The sequence below is a fragment of the Homo sapiens genome, chromosome 6, assembly GCF_000001405.40.
Source record: "Homo sapiens chromosome 6, GRCh38.p14 Primary Assembly".
Taxonomy (NCBI): Eukaryota; Metazoa; Chordata; class Mammalia; order Primates; family Hominidae; genus Homo; species Homo sapiens.
Genome location: NC_000006.12, coordinates 87,564,107 through 87,580,086, shown reverse-complemented (window position 1 = coordinate 87,580,086; position 15,980 = coordinate 87,564,107). Strand labels below are relative to the sequence as shown.

At 39.2% G+C, this 15,980-nt stretch overlaps 1 protein-coding gene across 37 annotated transcripts in view, besides 1 other annotated feature; it reads left to right on the top strand.

The window, feature by feature from the left end:
* RARS2 (arginyl-tRNA synthetase 2, mitochondrial) overlaps positions 1 to 15,980 on the top strand; it is a 76,050-nt gene that overhangs the window by 9,901 nt on the left and 50,169 nt on the right. For 33 of the 37 annotated variants that reach the window (NR_146747.2, NR_134857.2, NR_146756.2 and 30 more), the window contains 2 exons: positions 10,497 to 10,570; positions 15,855 to 15,957. Coding sequence is in view for 4 of the 37 variants with exons in the window: in NM_001350505.2 (NP_001337434.1) it covers positions 10,497 to 10,570; positions 15,855 to 15,957 (177 nt within the window). In the remaining 33 variants the exon portion in view is untranslated. Of the gene's footprint in view, positions 1 to 10,496; positions 10,571 to 15,424; positions 15,544 to 15,854; positions 15,958 to 15,980 lie in introns of all 37 variants that reach the window. The other 4 variants (NR_146741.2, NR_146757.2, NM_001350509.2 and 1 more) reach the window with 2 other exon arrangements.
* Positions 6,781 to 6,840: an enhancer, noted in NCBI's record as "active region_24797". NCBI's record gives its function as "activates an Ori minimal core promoter by ATAC-STARR-seq in GM12878 lymphoblastoid cells {active_cell/tissue: GM12878}" and the evidence as "EXISTENCE:reporter gene assay evidence [ECO:0000049][PMID:35858748]".

Below are 15,980 nucleotides of genomic sequence, written 5' to 3'. Positions count from 1 at the left end.
ATAATTCTAAACCTGTGAGAATACAAGTGAACTTAAAACCATGCTCCAAGCCTGGGGCGGTGGCTCGCACCTGTAATCCCAGCACTTTGGGAGGTGGAGGCGGGTGGATCACGAGGTCAAGAGATCAAGACCATCCAGCAACATGGCGAAACCCCGTCTCTACTAAAAATACAAAAATTAGCTGGGCATAGTGGGTGCCTGTAATCCCAGGCTGAGGCTGTAGTCCCAGGTACTCGGGAGGCTGAGACAGGAGAATCGCTTGAGCCCGGGAGGCGGAGTTTGCAGTGGGCAGAGATTGCATCACTGCACTCCAGCCTGGCGACAGAGCGAGACTCTGTCTCAAAAAAAAAAAAAAAAAAAAAAAAAAAAAACATGCTCTATGCTCGGTGGCTCTCAATTTGTTTTATTTTCTCTCTCTCTCTCTTTTTTTTTTATGCTGCACCCATTTGAGAGAAAGATAAACCTCTAATTAAAAACATTCACTACTTTGGGCATTGTTAAAATGGGAGGCAACTGCTCTCTCCCTAAGCCGTGGTTCTTAAACACTAGCTGCAGACTTGAATCACCTGAGAAGCATTTAAAACTGCTTAAGCCCAGGCCCTTTAGCCTGAGGTTGGGCATCGGCCTAGAAGTTATAAAAATTATCAGGTGATTCAGATGTTCATCCGAGCTTGATAACCACTACCGAACGGCTACCCAGGGGCAGAAAGGTGTAGTACAGTGGTCTCTCTGCACATTAGATCACCTGGGGAATGTTTTACATCCTTCTGCCCAGAGCCCACGTTGTACTAATTAAATCAAAATATTTGCACATGGGAGCCAGGCGGGTTTTCCTGAAGATTTCCGGTGGTCATTCCCATATACGGCAAAGTATTGGAACTGCTGGTGTAGTGACTAAGAACATTGACCATGGAAGACTCAGGTTTAAATCCAGCTTCTCCTCTGATAGATTTTTAAGTTTTCTTCACCTCGTCTGTAAAATCTGGAAAATTATTTAGCTACCGTATAGATGTGTCATCAGGATGCAAGGTATTAATACATATGGAGTGCTGAGAATTGTGTTTGGTATATTGTATGTATTCAGTATCAGTAAATATTAGTCTTTTTTTTTTTTTTTTTTTTTTTTTTGAGACAGTCTCTCGCTCTGTCTCCAGGCTGGAGTGCAGTGGTGCGATCTCAGCTCACTGCAACCTCTGCCTCCCAGGTTCAAGTGATTCTCCTGCCTCAGCTTCCTGAGTAGCTGGGACTACAGGCACCAGCCACCACGCCTGGCTAATTTTTTGTGTTTTTAGCAGAGACAGGGTTTTGCCATGTTGGCCAGGCTGGTCTTGATCTCCTGACCTCAGGTGATCTGCCTGCCTCGGCCTCCCAAAGTGCTGGGATTACAGGCGCAAGCCACTGCGTCCAGCCAATATTAGTCATTATTATGTTATTTTAGAATATCTCAGGGTGGGGTATTTTGAATACCTCTCCCCGCCTCACCACCATCCTAGGCTTAGCACCATGTGGAGTTAGTAAACAGTACGTGTCTGAGCCATACTGCTTAACATTCAACAGGAATTCCTTAAACATACTTTTATAAAGTTGTGGTTTGGTAAGCGAAAAGTTCTCATTTTTGCAAAATAATGCCTGCTCATTTTAAATAATTAAGCAATACAAAAGGATGCAAAGAATTTTTTAAACTACCCCATAAATCATCAACACTGACTTTTATTTTTAGGTATATTTCTATGCAGATATACAGGCAGAAAAAAGGAAGGAAAATAGGAAGGAAAACTGGATAAATATGCTTTTTACAAAATCCAGGCTGTATTATAATGAGTTTTTATTTTCAGAGTGTTATTTTTAAGTTTTACAATGGAAAAATGTCCAACATATTGAAAAGTAAAATAGTACTATTATTCCTCATGTGCTCATTACTGAAATGCTGTTTTGTTTTTATTATTTTTATTTTTAAATAGAGATGGCGGGGGGGGGGGTCTCGCTATGTTGCCCCAGGCTGGTCTCGAACTTCTGGCCTCAAGTGATCCTGCACCTCGACCTCCCAAAGTATTCGGATTACAGGCATGAGCCACCGCGCTTGGCCTGAAATGCTGTTTTAAATAAAAATGTTAAAAGTAGTTTTGTTTGAATTCAGTGAAAAACCAAAGTGCAGTTCAAAAAATTATTGATGTATTTCCTAAATGAGGTTTTTACAGTAAGAAAAGAAATTGTGAAAAACATTACAATTCGTAGTGTTTTTACAAAAAGATCTTCATGTTTCAAATTTAGACAGCATCACCGTCTACCATAAGGGATGAAGACATTGGCACTCTCACAAATGATATAATTTTCTTCCACCTTTACCAATTTATGTTGGGTAACTTTCTCACTCAAAGTTTATAACATTTATAGTCTGTTTAGTAACCATATCTGCACAACCTCTACTGTTCATTTTATGTTGAACCAGATAAGATGCTTACCACCAATCTTTTTCCTGATATATGGCTTAATTGGCTGTATTTAAGAAATTATGACTTCTCAGAAAAAGTAATCCTAGAAATATCAAAAGGAGGCTTAATCTTTAGAAAATTACCATGTTTAGAAATAAGACTGAGTGCAGTGGCTCACACCTATAATCCCAGCACTTTGGGAGGCTAGGGCAGGATGATTGCTTGAACCCAGGAGTTTGAGACCAGCCTGGACAACAAAGGTGAGATATGCCGTCTCCACAAAAAAATACAAAAAATTAGCCAGGCATGGTGGTGTACACCTGTAGTCCCAGCTACTCAGGAGGCTGGGGTGGGAGGACTGATTGAGCCCAGGAGTTGGAGGCTGCAGTGAGCCATCATCATACTGCTGCATTCCAGCCTGGGCAACAAAGTGAGACCCTGTCTCAGAAAACAACAACAACAAAAGAGTCAAAATCTTTCTTTTAGAAATAAAGGAATAACACTGATTGTTTAGTTCTTATCTCACATTTTTTCTTCTGATACCATGGATGCAAATGCGTAGGGCAATCCCAGTGTAATTGTAAAATTTTCCAATCTTCCTGTGTTGTCAATTAATTCAAATTAAAAAACAACAACTGAGCAGGTGAAACACACTACTTTGCAACTTCTTTATCGAATGAATCTATTCCTATATAATATCACCGTTAAATTATCTGCTTTGACCAGATCATGATCTTTGTGATTTAATGTGACTACAAAGTAAAGTACATTTATTTCATTTCCCATGGAGTTTTCTTGATTGGGTGCTTTATTTTCAAAATTTAGCAACTTATCCAGCATACATCTGTGTTGAATTTTCTGTATATTTTCTTGATATAATTTATCTTGATATGTAGATTCAGTTTCTCTTTTTTAATTGAAATATGTTAATCATAGAAAAGAATATAGTTAATACTTATATGCCCCACACCCAGCTTCGAAAATAAAATATTACAAATACTTTTAAATTCCCGAGAGTACCCATCTCTGGCAAACTCTTACCTTACACAATAGGTAATGTCTATCTTGAAATTTGTGTTGGCCGGGCGCGGTGGCTCACGCCTGTAATCCCAGCACTTTGGGAGGCCGAGGCGGGCGGATCACGAGGTCAGGAGATCGAGACCATCCTGGCTAACACGGTGAAACCCCGTCTCTACTAAAAATACAAAAAATTAGCCGGGCGTGGTAGCGGGCGCCTGTAGTCCCAGCTACTCGGGAGGCTGAGGCAGGAGAATGGCGTGAACCCGGGAGGCGGAGCTTGCAGTGAGCCGAGATCGCGCCACTGCACTCCAGCCTGGGCGACAGAGCGAGACTCCGTCTCAAAAAAAAAAAAAAAAAAAAGAAATTTGTGTTTATTATACCTGTAAATGTCACTCATTACCTATGAATGTATCTCTAAATAGTATTATTTTACAAGTTATTAAATTTTATATAAATTATATCAAAGTGTAATTATCTTTGTGCAGCTGCAGCTTGGATTTTTTTGTTTGACTCAATTTTTAAAGAAGACTTATCCAGCTGGGCGCATTGGCTCACGCCTGTAATCCCAGCACTTTGGGAGGCCGAGGCGGGTGGATCACTTGAGGTCAGGAGTTCGAGACTAGTCTGGCCAACATGGTGAAACCCTGTCTCTGCTAAAAATACAAAAATTAGCTGGGCATGGTGGGTGCCTGTAATCCCAGGCTGAAGCAGGAGAATTCCTTGAACCCAGGAGGCAGAGGTTGCAGTGAGCGATCACACCATTGCCCTCTAGCCTGGGTGACAAAAGCGAAACTCCATCTCAAAAAAAAAAAAAATTTATCCACAATGATGCATGGAGGTCTAGTTCTTTGATTTTATTGCTGAGTGGTGTGCCATAGCAGTAGTGTACCACAATTTAGATTTGGTTCTTTATTTCGTGGAAGTTTTTCCCTTTATTGTTTATATTGTGCCCTGTCTCCCATCACCTTGGTCACACCTCTGATTCCAGCTGCCACAGTTGTAAATACAGGTTTACAACTATTTACACAGGTGTAAACAGTTTTGTGTGTGCTTCCATTCACTTATTGCTAATAGCACCTCATCCTCTCTGGAGCCTGCTGGTCCCAGCACATACATAGCTCCAGTGTGGTGGAATTATTTTGGATAGACAATTCTGGTAGACACTATGTATGTATTTTACGAGGTACCATGGAAATTAAGCCTCCATTGCTTATAGCAATGACTTTGATGGCATAATCTTGTATTAAGTTTTCTTCCTTCCCTCTCTCTCATCACTTCTGCCCTCAGGAACCATCTCCCAAATAAACTACTTGCCTGCAAGTCTTTTTCTCAGGCCCTGCTTTTGAAGAAGCCAAGGTGTGTGTGTGTGTGTGTGTGTGTGTGTGTGTGTGTGTGTGTGTGTGTGTGTGCTTTCTATTTTTTAGGGTTCATCTCTGTGGCTTCTGATAAGTGAGATCAAGTTAGGAGCCCTGCCAAATAAGGCTGCTCCATTCTGCTTCATAATCTGTATTATCTTTTCTTGGAGATCTCTTTTGAAGTTTATGGCTTTGAATTTTGTCTCTATCCTTATGACTGGTTGCTAGGGAAGCAGTCTACCTTCCTTCCTTCCTGTCTGCATGTTTGTTTGCTAGTCTTCATTCTTTTTGTATTTTAAGGACACCAATTTTCCTAAGGTTGGATTATCTTTCTTCAATTCTGTTTATTTTTCTGATTACATTAATCTTTGTATTCTCTGATTAGTTCTTCTGTGTCATAGTATTTTTTTCAATTATGACTATACTGTTATGTTTCTTAATTATTAGTTTTATGGTAAAAAGTTTGGTCACTAATTTTTAGACTCCTTATAAAATTCACTCCTGTTTTTTCATCTTGTCTTTTAGTTCTTGTTTATTTTATTCACATTCTCAGTAAGTTCCAAATCCTGAAGCATTTGTGAATAATGTTCTTCGTATTCATTGGGTTACATTTTTCTCCTGGGCAGAGTTCTTTGATCTGTTGTATGCCACATTTTTTCCAGCTGTCTATCTTCTGGTCTGTGCCTCCCTCCCTATTCTCTCTCTCCCTATTTTTGTTTATTTCAGTTTGATCACCTATTGGTGATGCCTGTTCTTTTTCTTCTTGCTCATGCTTGACAGCTCTGCCCCAGCTTTCCATTTGTTTGCACATTGTGTGGATGACTTCTTCACTCCTCATGTCACGTTTGTTTTTGGCTTACCTCACCTTTGTGGTTGCAAAAATATAAACTCCTCCCCCTTTCCATTCCTCTTTTGTCTCTCTCTCTAGTAGGTCATGGTGACCTGTACACATTATTCCTCAACTCTGACATGGTATATTAAATTTTTGCAAACTAGCCCTGATATTTTTCTGTCTTCCTGTAAAAACTACTTCTCTGATTCTTACTGCTCACACAACACCATATCAAGGTTTGCTTTCTGCAGTAGGAGAATGTATTGTGTTTTCATTGGAAAGGCCATTGGTGTGTTACCCTAGAATTTTTACTTTTGCTGGAAAGTGCTGGAATTCATTTCTGTCTTACTAATTGTTTCCCACAGCTTGGGCAGCATCTCTTAGTTGCAAGAGGGAAAAAATAATGGAATTTATTCAATTTGTTTTTCTCCAGATTTGGGGTGTTAATGAGAATTGTTAATTCATCTCTGACTTCTGATACATGAGGACTGAGTTAGCCTTGCCAAACAGGGCTGTTCCATTCTCCTCCAGAAGCTATTGTATTTTTACTTGACTATCAACTTTGAAGTTTGTGACTTTGAGCTCTTTCTGTCTTGTGTATTTGCTGCTGGAGAACCAACCTACCTACCTGTTTACTCTCTAATTACTTTCCTTCCTTTTCTTTTTGATGTTGGTTGAAGATGGGAGATTATGTGAAGAAGCTTTCATTTCACTACTTTATCCCGGAAGTCTTCTTGGTTTTTTTTTGTGTGTTTTTTTAAATTGTGAAAAAATACACATAACGTAAAATTTACCATCTTAGCCATTTTTAAGTATACAGTTCAGTGGCATTAGGTACATTTACATTGTGCAACCATCACCACCATCCGTCTGCGGAACAGTTTTCATCTTGCACAACTAAAACTCTCTACCCATTAAACAATAACTCCACATTCACCCCAACCCCCTTTTTCTTGTTTGTTTTAAAATTTACATTATGTAAGAATGTTTCTATACTGATATAGTTTGGCTCTGTGTCCCCACCCAAATCTCATGTTCAATTGTAATCCCCAGTGTTGGAGGTGGGGCCTGGTGAGAGGTGATTGGATCATGGGGATGGTTTCTAATGGTTTAGCACCATTCCCCTAGTGCTGCCTCGGTGATAGAATTCTCACAAGATCTGGTTGTTCAACAGTGTGTAGCATCTCCCCATTCACACTTTTCCTCCTGCTCCCACCGTGTGAGATGTGCCTGCTTCCCTTTCGCTTTCTGCCATGATTGAGTTTTCTGAGGCCTCCCCATACGTGCTTCCTGTACAGCCTGTGGAACCATGAGCCAAGTAAACTTCTTTTCCTCATGAATTAGCCAGTCTCAGTTATGTCTTTATAGCAGTACAAGAACTAATTATACATGTATCTTTTGTGAAACTGCTATTGAAACTACTGTCTTGTTATTTATATCTTCATATGAGTAAGATAAACTAGTCTTAGAATTACTTTCAGGAAAACTTCATTCCTGCTATTTACTGAGTATGTATATATATATGTTTACCCTGTATTACTAGGTGTAAAACATGCTGTGTAGATAGATTCCCTTTGTACCTTGATTGCCAAGAAGCGTTAAGTACCTTGAGCTTAGAGTTTTCTGGTATAAATTTATACCTCCATTTCATTTTATGTGCTTAAGTCCCCCATTTCATTTTTGGTAGCAAATGAAATATAGTAAGATAATACATGAGGCCAGCCATGGTGGCGCAGTTCCTTGGAGTCCCAGCTACTCAGGAAGCTGAGGTGGGAGGACCATTTGAGACCAGGAGGTCGAGGCTACAGTGAAGTATGATTGTGAGCCGCTGCACTCCAGCCTGGGTAACAGAGTGAGACCTTTTCTCTGGGGAAAAGAAAAAAAAAGAAGAAGAAGAAATTATTAAGTAGCTTTTAGTTTAGCCAAAAGAATTCTCCAAATGAGAATTGCATGTTGTTCATTTAAATGTAACCTTTTTATTGCTACCCAGGTTCACAACCTATTTGTCAGCTGAAATGCTTCAAAATTGACCTAATAACTGAGTTTTTTTCAGCCGAATTGTTATATTTAAGATAGACATAAAATCTTAGTGATTATGGTTAAGTTTGGAAGATGTGTCCAAAATAAACAAACTTTTTAAAAGGAGAAGGAAATATTTATTACATGTTTATTATATGACATATTTTTCTTAGTCATCACAAGAGCCCTAGTTTATTATTTAACAGATTTATTATCCCCGTATTTCAGCTGTGAAAACTATAGCTCATTCATGTAAAATTACTTTCTCAAGGTCTCTTAACTAATAAAAGTAGAACTGGAATTTGGAATTTGGATCCTTTTTTTTTTTTTTCTGAGAAATTACGATAGAACCTTTATTACTGATGTTTCTGTTCTAGAAACATTTCGTACTATAAACATGAACTGTTTGAGCCTTTATCCTATAAATGCTTTGGAAATATTTACCTACTTCTGTAAATACATCCTAAAGAAATGACTTTTTAGTAAGGAATACAGTAATTTACTTCCTAAAGTCTAGAAAATAAAAATATTGTACCCTGAGAGGAAACTTTAAAAAATCAATCTGTACCAAGCCAAAGTGGAAATGTACAAGCCTCTTAAAGAAAGTGACGTCTCCAGGTCTGCAAGTTTGGGCAAGTTTTTACGGTTAATATGTTTGTGAAATTCAACAAATAACTTCTGTTGACAACAGGAGAGTATATGTTGTTATTAATCAAGAGACAGTGGTTTTAATTTTATTGCTCTCCTGAACAGTCACAAACACCCTTGAAGATGATTTCTTCTTAAACTCTTCTTACATTCTTACTTTTTCTGTTTCCCCCATCATTCCCTTCTCTTTTTCCCAATTCTACAGCCATGTATAGTCCTTTGCAGAGGCTATATGAGTATTGGAGAAGTGGGGGAAAAGTTGAAGACAGTTGTAAATTTATACTGGCTATGCTGTTATTTCACTATTTTGTTTTTATGCATTTCTCAATGAAAGGATATACATATGTGTATTAGTCTGTTCTCACACTGCTAATAAAGACATGCGTGACACTGGGTAATTTATAAAGGAAAGAGATTTAATTGACTCACAGTTCAGCATGGCTGGGGAGGCCTCAGGAAACTTACAATCGTTGCAGAAGGGGAAGCAGACACATTCTTCACATGGCAGCAGCAAGGAGAAGTGTTGAGCGAAGGGTGGGGGAAAGCCTCTTTTAAAACCATCAGATCTCGTGAGAACTAACTCACTGTCACGAAAACAGAATGGGGGAAACCACCCCATGATTCAGTTATCCCCACCTGGTCCCTCCCATGACACGTGGGGATTATGGGAGCTATAATTCAAGATCAGATTTTGGGAGGAAATAGAACCAAACCATATCAATATGGCATAGGGGTTGAGTATAGGTTCTGTTTTTAGATAGCCTGTGTTCACATCCTAGCTTTTCTTTCCACTTAGGCAAGTTAAGTAAATTCCCTGTACTTCAGTTTCATCATTTATAAAATGAGGGTTGAAATAGTAGGAAAGTCTGGGATTGTTGCAAAGAAAAATTAAGGTACTTAAGACATGCCTGTCAGATAGGAATAATTCAGGACTGGTGCAGTGCTCACTCTTGTAATCCCAGCACTTTGAGGGGCGGAGGTGGGAGGTTTGCTTGAGGCCAGAAGTTAGAGGCCAGCTTGGTCAACATAGCAAGACTGTCTCTATAAGAAATAAAAAATCTGGCTGGGCATGGTGGTTTACGCCTATAATGTCAACATTTTGGGAGTCTGAGGCGGGTGGATCATCTGAGGTCAGGAGTTTGAGACCAGCCTGGCCAAAATGGCAAGGCCCCGTCTCTACTAAAAATAGAAAAAATTAGCTGCGCTTGGTGGTGTGCGTCTGTAATCCCAGCTACTTGGGCGGCTGAGGCAGGAGAATTGCTTGAACCCGGGAGATGGAGGCCGCAGTGAGCCGAGATCACGTCACTGTACTCCAGCCTGGGTGACAGAGCGAGACTCTGTCTCAAAAAAAATAAATCATTCAGTACATGGGAATGTCTCTTCCACCTAACTTTGAGTGTCCAATTAGGGTAATAGTTCACAACTTTGGCTATGTATTAACAGTCGTGCGAGGAGCTTTTAGAAAATACAAATCCAGCAAGGCACAGTTCCTCACACCTATAATCCCAGTACTTTGGGGAGTTGATGTGGAAGGATCACATGAGGCCAGGAGTTCAAGACCAGCCTGGGCAACATAGCGAGACTTTGTCTGTGCTACAAAATATATGTATATAACACATCCACCCCGCTATTCTAATGATTAAGCCTTTGATAGGGACGGGGATCACATTTTCCCTGTTATTTACTTGTTTATTTGTAAATGCCATGAGGTTTTGTTTTGTTTTGTTTTGTTTTTTGTCTGTTTTGTTCACTGCTGTATCCCTAATACCTGGAATAATGCCTGGCACATTAAGTAGCCACTCAATTTTTTTAATGAAAAAAATAAGTAAATTATCTGTGGATTCTCAGTGGTTTATCTCCTCTCTTGCCATACTTTTTTTTTTTTTTAATTTACGAAGGTAAAGTTCATTCTTTTTGCTAAACAGTTCTGTTAATTTATGGTCAAATCCTCCCCTTAACCCTTGGCAACCACAGATTTATTCTTCATCCTTAGAATTTTGGGTTTTCCAGAGGGTCAAATAATTGAATCATACACTATATACCTTTTTGAATCTGGCTTCCTTCACTTGGAATGCATTTGGAGCTCATTCGTGTTAAGTGTATTAATAGTTTATTCTTACAAGTGGTATTCCATTGAATGGAACAAATATGTGAACAATCTTACACTGTTTTGTTCTTTTTGATTTTTAGCTTTCCAGAGTGTTGAATCTTCCACCAGAAAACTTGATCACATCAATATCTGCAGTTCCAATTTCCCAAAAAGAGTTAAGTATAATACACTTGTAACAATCTATAAAATGTTGCTGACTTTGTTGATACACCAAAAAAGCAAAAAAGAATTGTTACTCTTCAGTTTGTGGAATAGTCCTTGAAATTAACTGTAAGATATGATTCATTATACTCAGCCTATTACTCCTGTTGACTTAAATAATAAAATTAAAATCTGTATTTTAAATACTCTGATATGGCAGATTGTGTATTCTTATGTTCATTATTTTAGTTATGCTAGTAACTATAATTGTGGCAAAGTCTTTGGGAATGAGGTTCAAATTCAATTCTGTAACAATAAATAAAATAACTAAAATTGTGGTTAGAATCTCAGGGTTTTTGAAGGGATATTAAAGATTGTACAGCCATCTGGTGCTTGAATACTGTTGTACCATATTTATCTACTAGGTTTTTAATGTTGTTTTTGTTTATTGAGTTTCCTTTTGAGTACTCCCAGTGATAGAAAACTGTTGGTTAGGACTACACACAACTAATAGTTGCTTTCTCAGTTACAGAGAGGTATCTCTTTGTGAGTTTGGTCATCCTAAATGATTCTTGTTTACGATTTGGGTAGAAAACTTCAATACTTGGATAGATTATTGTCTGTCAATTAATAATGACAAGAAATTAGCTACATAGTAGTCATTTAAGTCCTAAGCTTTGAAAAGAAGTTAAGATATAATTACCAGTACCATTCTGTCCTTGTATTTTATTCACTTAACTTTGTCAGGACTTTAAGAGTAGAATGAATATTCTTCTCAGAATAGAACAAAGAAGTAAGTGGAAAAGAAAGAGAAAGGCTACATTTGGCCTTCTAGTAAAAGCACCTTTAAAATGGCCCACTGCGGCTTTTTATATTGACTTTCTGTAAGAGAGGCAGCCACTACCAAGAGGATCTCATGATTATATGTAAATAGATGTAACCTTCCAAACTAGTTGCCTATTTCGTAAAATCTATAAATGACATTCTGCATAATAAGGGAAATGTTACTGGTTTGGTGTTTGTTTGTTTTGAGACCAGGTCTCATTCTGTCACCCAAGCTGGAGGGCAGTGGTGTGATCTCGGCTCACTGCTGCCTCAAACTCCCGTGCTCAAGTGATCCTCCCACCTCAGCCTCCAGAGTAGCTTGGACTACAGGCTCACGCCACTATGCCTGGCTGACATTTTTGTATTTGTTGTAGAGATGGGGTTTAGTCATGTTGCCCAGGGTGGTCTTGAACTCCTGAGCTCAGGCAGTCCCCTTGCCTTGGTCTCCCAAAGTACTGGGATTACAAGTATGAACCACCACACCCAGCCTGTTTGTTTCCATTTTCATTTAATGTGTCAAAGGTCTTTAATAAGCTGAACCATCTTGGCCCATCTTTTGAATAGGATTTCCTTTGCCTGCTTCCACTTTAACAATCTGAGGTATTAACTTTAGTTTATAGAAAATAAATATTGGGGCCGGGCACGGTGGCTCACGCCTGTAATCCCAGCACTTTGGGAGGCCGAGGCAGGCAGATCGTGAGGTCAGGAGATGGAGACCATCCTGGCTAACATGGTGAAACCCCGTCTCTACTAGAAATACAAAAAATTAGCCAGGCATGGTGGCATGCGCCTGTAATCCCAGCTACTCAGGAGGCTGAGGCAGGAGAACCGCTTGAACCGGGGAGGCGGAGGTTAGAGTGAGCCGAGATCTCGCCACTGCACTCCAGCCTGGGTGACAGAGCGAGACTCCGTCTCAAAAAAAGTAAATAAATAAATTAAATATTGGGGAGGGCCTCAAGATTTTTCTGGCCTACAAATCTGAAATTCTTCATATTAAGTTTACTTAAAACAAAGGGAACCTCTAGTGCTTTGCCATAATAAATTCAGGTTTCCTTTACAGTATGTAACTAAGCCTAACCGTTCTATATTTCTAACTTTATTCCAGAGTGCTTACAAGTGCCAGGAGAATTAAGAAATAGTATTTTTGTTAACATGGTTTAATTAATATAATGAATTAATTTACTCTGATCTAATTCTCTCGATTTTATTTTCTGTCTACTATCTGATGGTAGTAAACAGAATTAACAACTTTATTATAAGCCAATGGCTATCAAGTCTGTGGATTTCACACTAACCAATATCACAACTCCTCAGAATTAATGGGAAAATAACTATTGCTTTTTAAACTTTTTTAAGTATAAAGAATGAGTGTACAGGGACTAGTTTAATGAACCCTGTGTGTGCCCATCACCCACCATCATCTGTATGGGACCAGTTTTTTCTTTGTTTTTTTGAGGCGGAATCTTGCTCTGTCACCCAAGCTGGAGTGCAGTGGCACAATCTTGGCTCACTGCAACCTCCGCCTCCTGGGTTCAAGCCATCCTCCTGCCTCAGCCTCCCCAGTAGCTGGGATTACAGGCACACACCACCATGCCCAGCTAATTTTTGTATTTTTAGTAGAGACGGGGTTTCACCATGTTGGCCAGGCTGGTCTCAAACTCCTGACCTTGGGAGGCCAAGGTAGAAGGATTGCTTGAGCTCAGGAGTTCAAGACCAGCTTGGGCAACATGCGCCTGCCTCAGCCTCCCAAAGTGCTGGGATTACAGGCTTGAGCCACCATGCCTGGCTCAGTTTTGTTTCTTTTACACGCCGTCTGCTTTCCTTGTCCACATTTTTTTTTTTTTTTTTTTTTTTTGAGACAGGACCTAGCTCTGTTGGTTGCTGAGGCTGGAGTGCAGTGGCAGAATCACGGCTTACTGCAGCCTTAAGCTCCCAGGCTCAAGCTATCCTCCCATCTCAGCCTGTCAATTAGCTGGGACCAGAAGCATGGGCCACCACACTTGGCTAATTTTTTAAATTTTCTGTAGAGATGATGTCTGCCTACATTGCCCAGGCTAGTCTTGAACTCCTCAGCTCAAGCAATTCTCCTACCTCAGCCTCCCACACTAGAATTACAGGCTTGAGCCACTGTGTTGGGCTCTCCTCATCCACAGTTGTTTATTTTGATATCTACTGCTTTTCATAGCTTAGATGTTTTGTCTTTTTAAAGGTTTTATTTTTAAATGTGTTTTTCTATTATAAAAGCAAAACAGATAATCTTCTTAAGGAAATTCAGGAAAATACAGAAGAATAAGAAAAGATAAAAGCCCCCAATAGTCTACTACAGTAAGACAACTGATTTTAGCAAGTTGATGTATTTTTTACTTTTTTGTTTGAAATTTTTTTAGCGTTTAAAAAGACATAGCTATAAAACTACATAGAAAAACATAAGATATTTGAATCCTTTTCCTGACATAATTCTGTTTTTAAAATGAATATCGCTTTTAGCAATATTGTAACATTCCCTTGTTGCTAGACATTTAGATTGTTTTCATTTTTTAATATAAATTTTTTTTCTTAGAGATTGGGTCTTGCTATGTTGCCCAAGCTGGTCTTGAACTCCTGAGCTCAAGCAATCCTCCTGCCTTGGCCTCCCAAATGTTGGAATTACAGGCATGGGCCCCTGTACCTGGCCAAAGTGTAATACATAGTAGGCTGCTGGATGATGTATTAAGGCTCAGGAGAATTCTTAATGGTCATTGTGGACTGGGTTTTTAAATGTGATGTTAACCAGAAGTCACACAGGAATTTTTAGTTATTTCCCTGAGTTTCATAAGTGTTAATGAAGGAAATAATTTGTGCCTTCTCAAAAATAAGTTTTTTCATTCCAGTGACAGATGGGCTGGATAAATAAAGTTTCAACCCTCTTACTCTGCCCATCGAGTCTCATTCTCTAGTTCCATATTAAACACCAGAAGATAAATTAGTGTGAGTAGTTATATAGATGCTTATATGTTGATTAAAAAAATTTTTTTTGCACCTTGAACTATTTCAAACCTACAGAAAAATTCATAGAGAATGATGTAATGAGTACTGTCATGGTCACTTTCTAAGTTGTCAAGTCCTTTTTCCAAATTTACTTCAAGTCTTATTTTGTAGGGAAAGGGAGAGCTTTTGATTTTTGTTAAGCATTACAGATAATGTTGAAGTCACTGATATATATTTGTTTGACTGCATTCCCTACCCTGCTTCCCTAGAGAGAACTGATCTCATGATGCAAATGATTTATTTTCACGAATCAGTTGCTTTGTGTTTGTTTCTTTGTTTTTGTATTTTTTTTTCACCTACCCAGTGAAAAGGATAAATGGCATTGTCCATCTCTTTAATGAACTACTGAGTGTTAAGAAGAATATTCTTCTTTTTCTCATGTTGAAACTCAAATTACAACATTTAAAAAATATGTCATTTGGAGGTCAGTGGAGAGGTTTGAATTAGAAGCATGTATTTGGAGTAGTAGAGGAAGCATTGTAGAAGAGGTAAAGAGACCTGGGCTTTTTTCTCAGTCTGTTTTTATTTGCAGTAGGATTTTAAAGGAGACATTTAGCTTGCCAGACATCAGTTTTCATGTCTATAAAATAAGGTGGCTAGTATAAGAGGAAGAATTTTTTGAGACTAGGTCTTGCTCTGTCACCCAGACTGGAGTGCAGTGGCATGATCTCAGCTCACTGCAACCTCTGCCTCCTGGGTTCAAGCAATTCTCGTGCCTAAGCCTCCCGAGTAGCTGGGCTTACGGGCACATGCCACCACGCCTGGCTAATTTTTGTATTTTTAGTAGAGATGGGGTTTTTCCATGTTGGCCAGGCTGGTCTCAAACTCCTGACCTTAAGTGGTCCACTTGCCTCGGCCTCCCAAAGTGCTGGGATCTGTGCCCAGACAGAAGAGGAAGAATTTTATAAGATGATAAGAAAAACATTCTGAATAAATACTAGGTTATTTCTCATTTTCTTGCTTTTAATTTTGTTTTTTATTTATTTATTTTATTTTATTTACTTTTTTGAGACAGAGTTTCGCTCTTGTCACCCAGGCTGGAGTGCAGTGGCACAATCTTGACTCGCTGCAGTCTCCACCTCCAGGATTCAAGCGATTCCCCTGCCTCAGTCTCCCAAGCAGCTGGGATTGTAGGTACACACCACCATGCCTGGCTAATTTTTGTGTGTGTGTGTGTATTTTTAGTAGAGATGGGGTTTTACCATGTGGCCAGGCTGGTCTAGAACTCAACCTCAGGTGATCCGCCTGCCTTAGCCTCCCAAAGTGCTGGGATTACAGGCATGAGCCACCGCTCTCGGCCCCCTTGCTTTTAATTTTGAAAGTACACATAACACCTTCTTCTGGTAAAGGTATGTCTCAATGGAGAACTCATAGTGATTAGTCTTTGTTTAACAACTAATGCTTTTAAGGTAACAGTTCTATCTCGTTTCGATGTCTGTCTTTAGAGAAGTAGCTGATTTTCAGCTTTCTGTGGATTCTTTATTGGAAAAAGACAATGACCATTCAAGACCAGATATTCAAGTTCAAGCCAAGAGACTAGCAGAGAAGGTACGTTAGCACTATTATCTCTT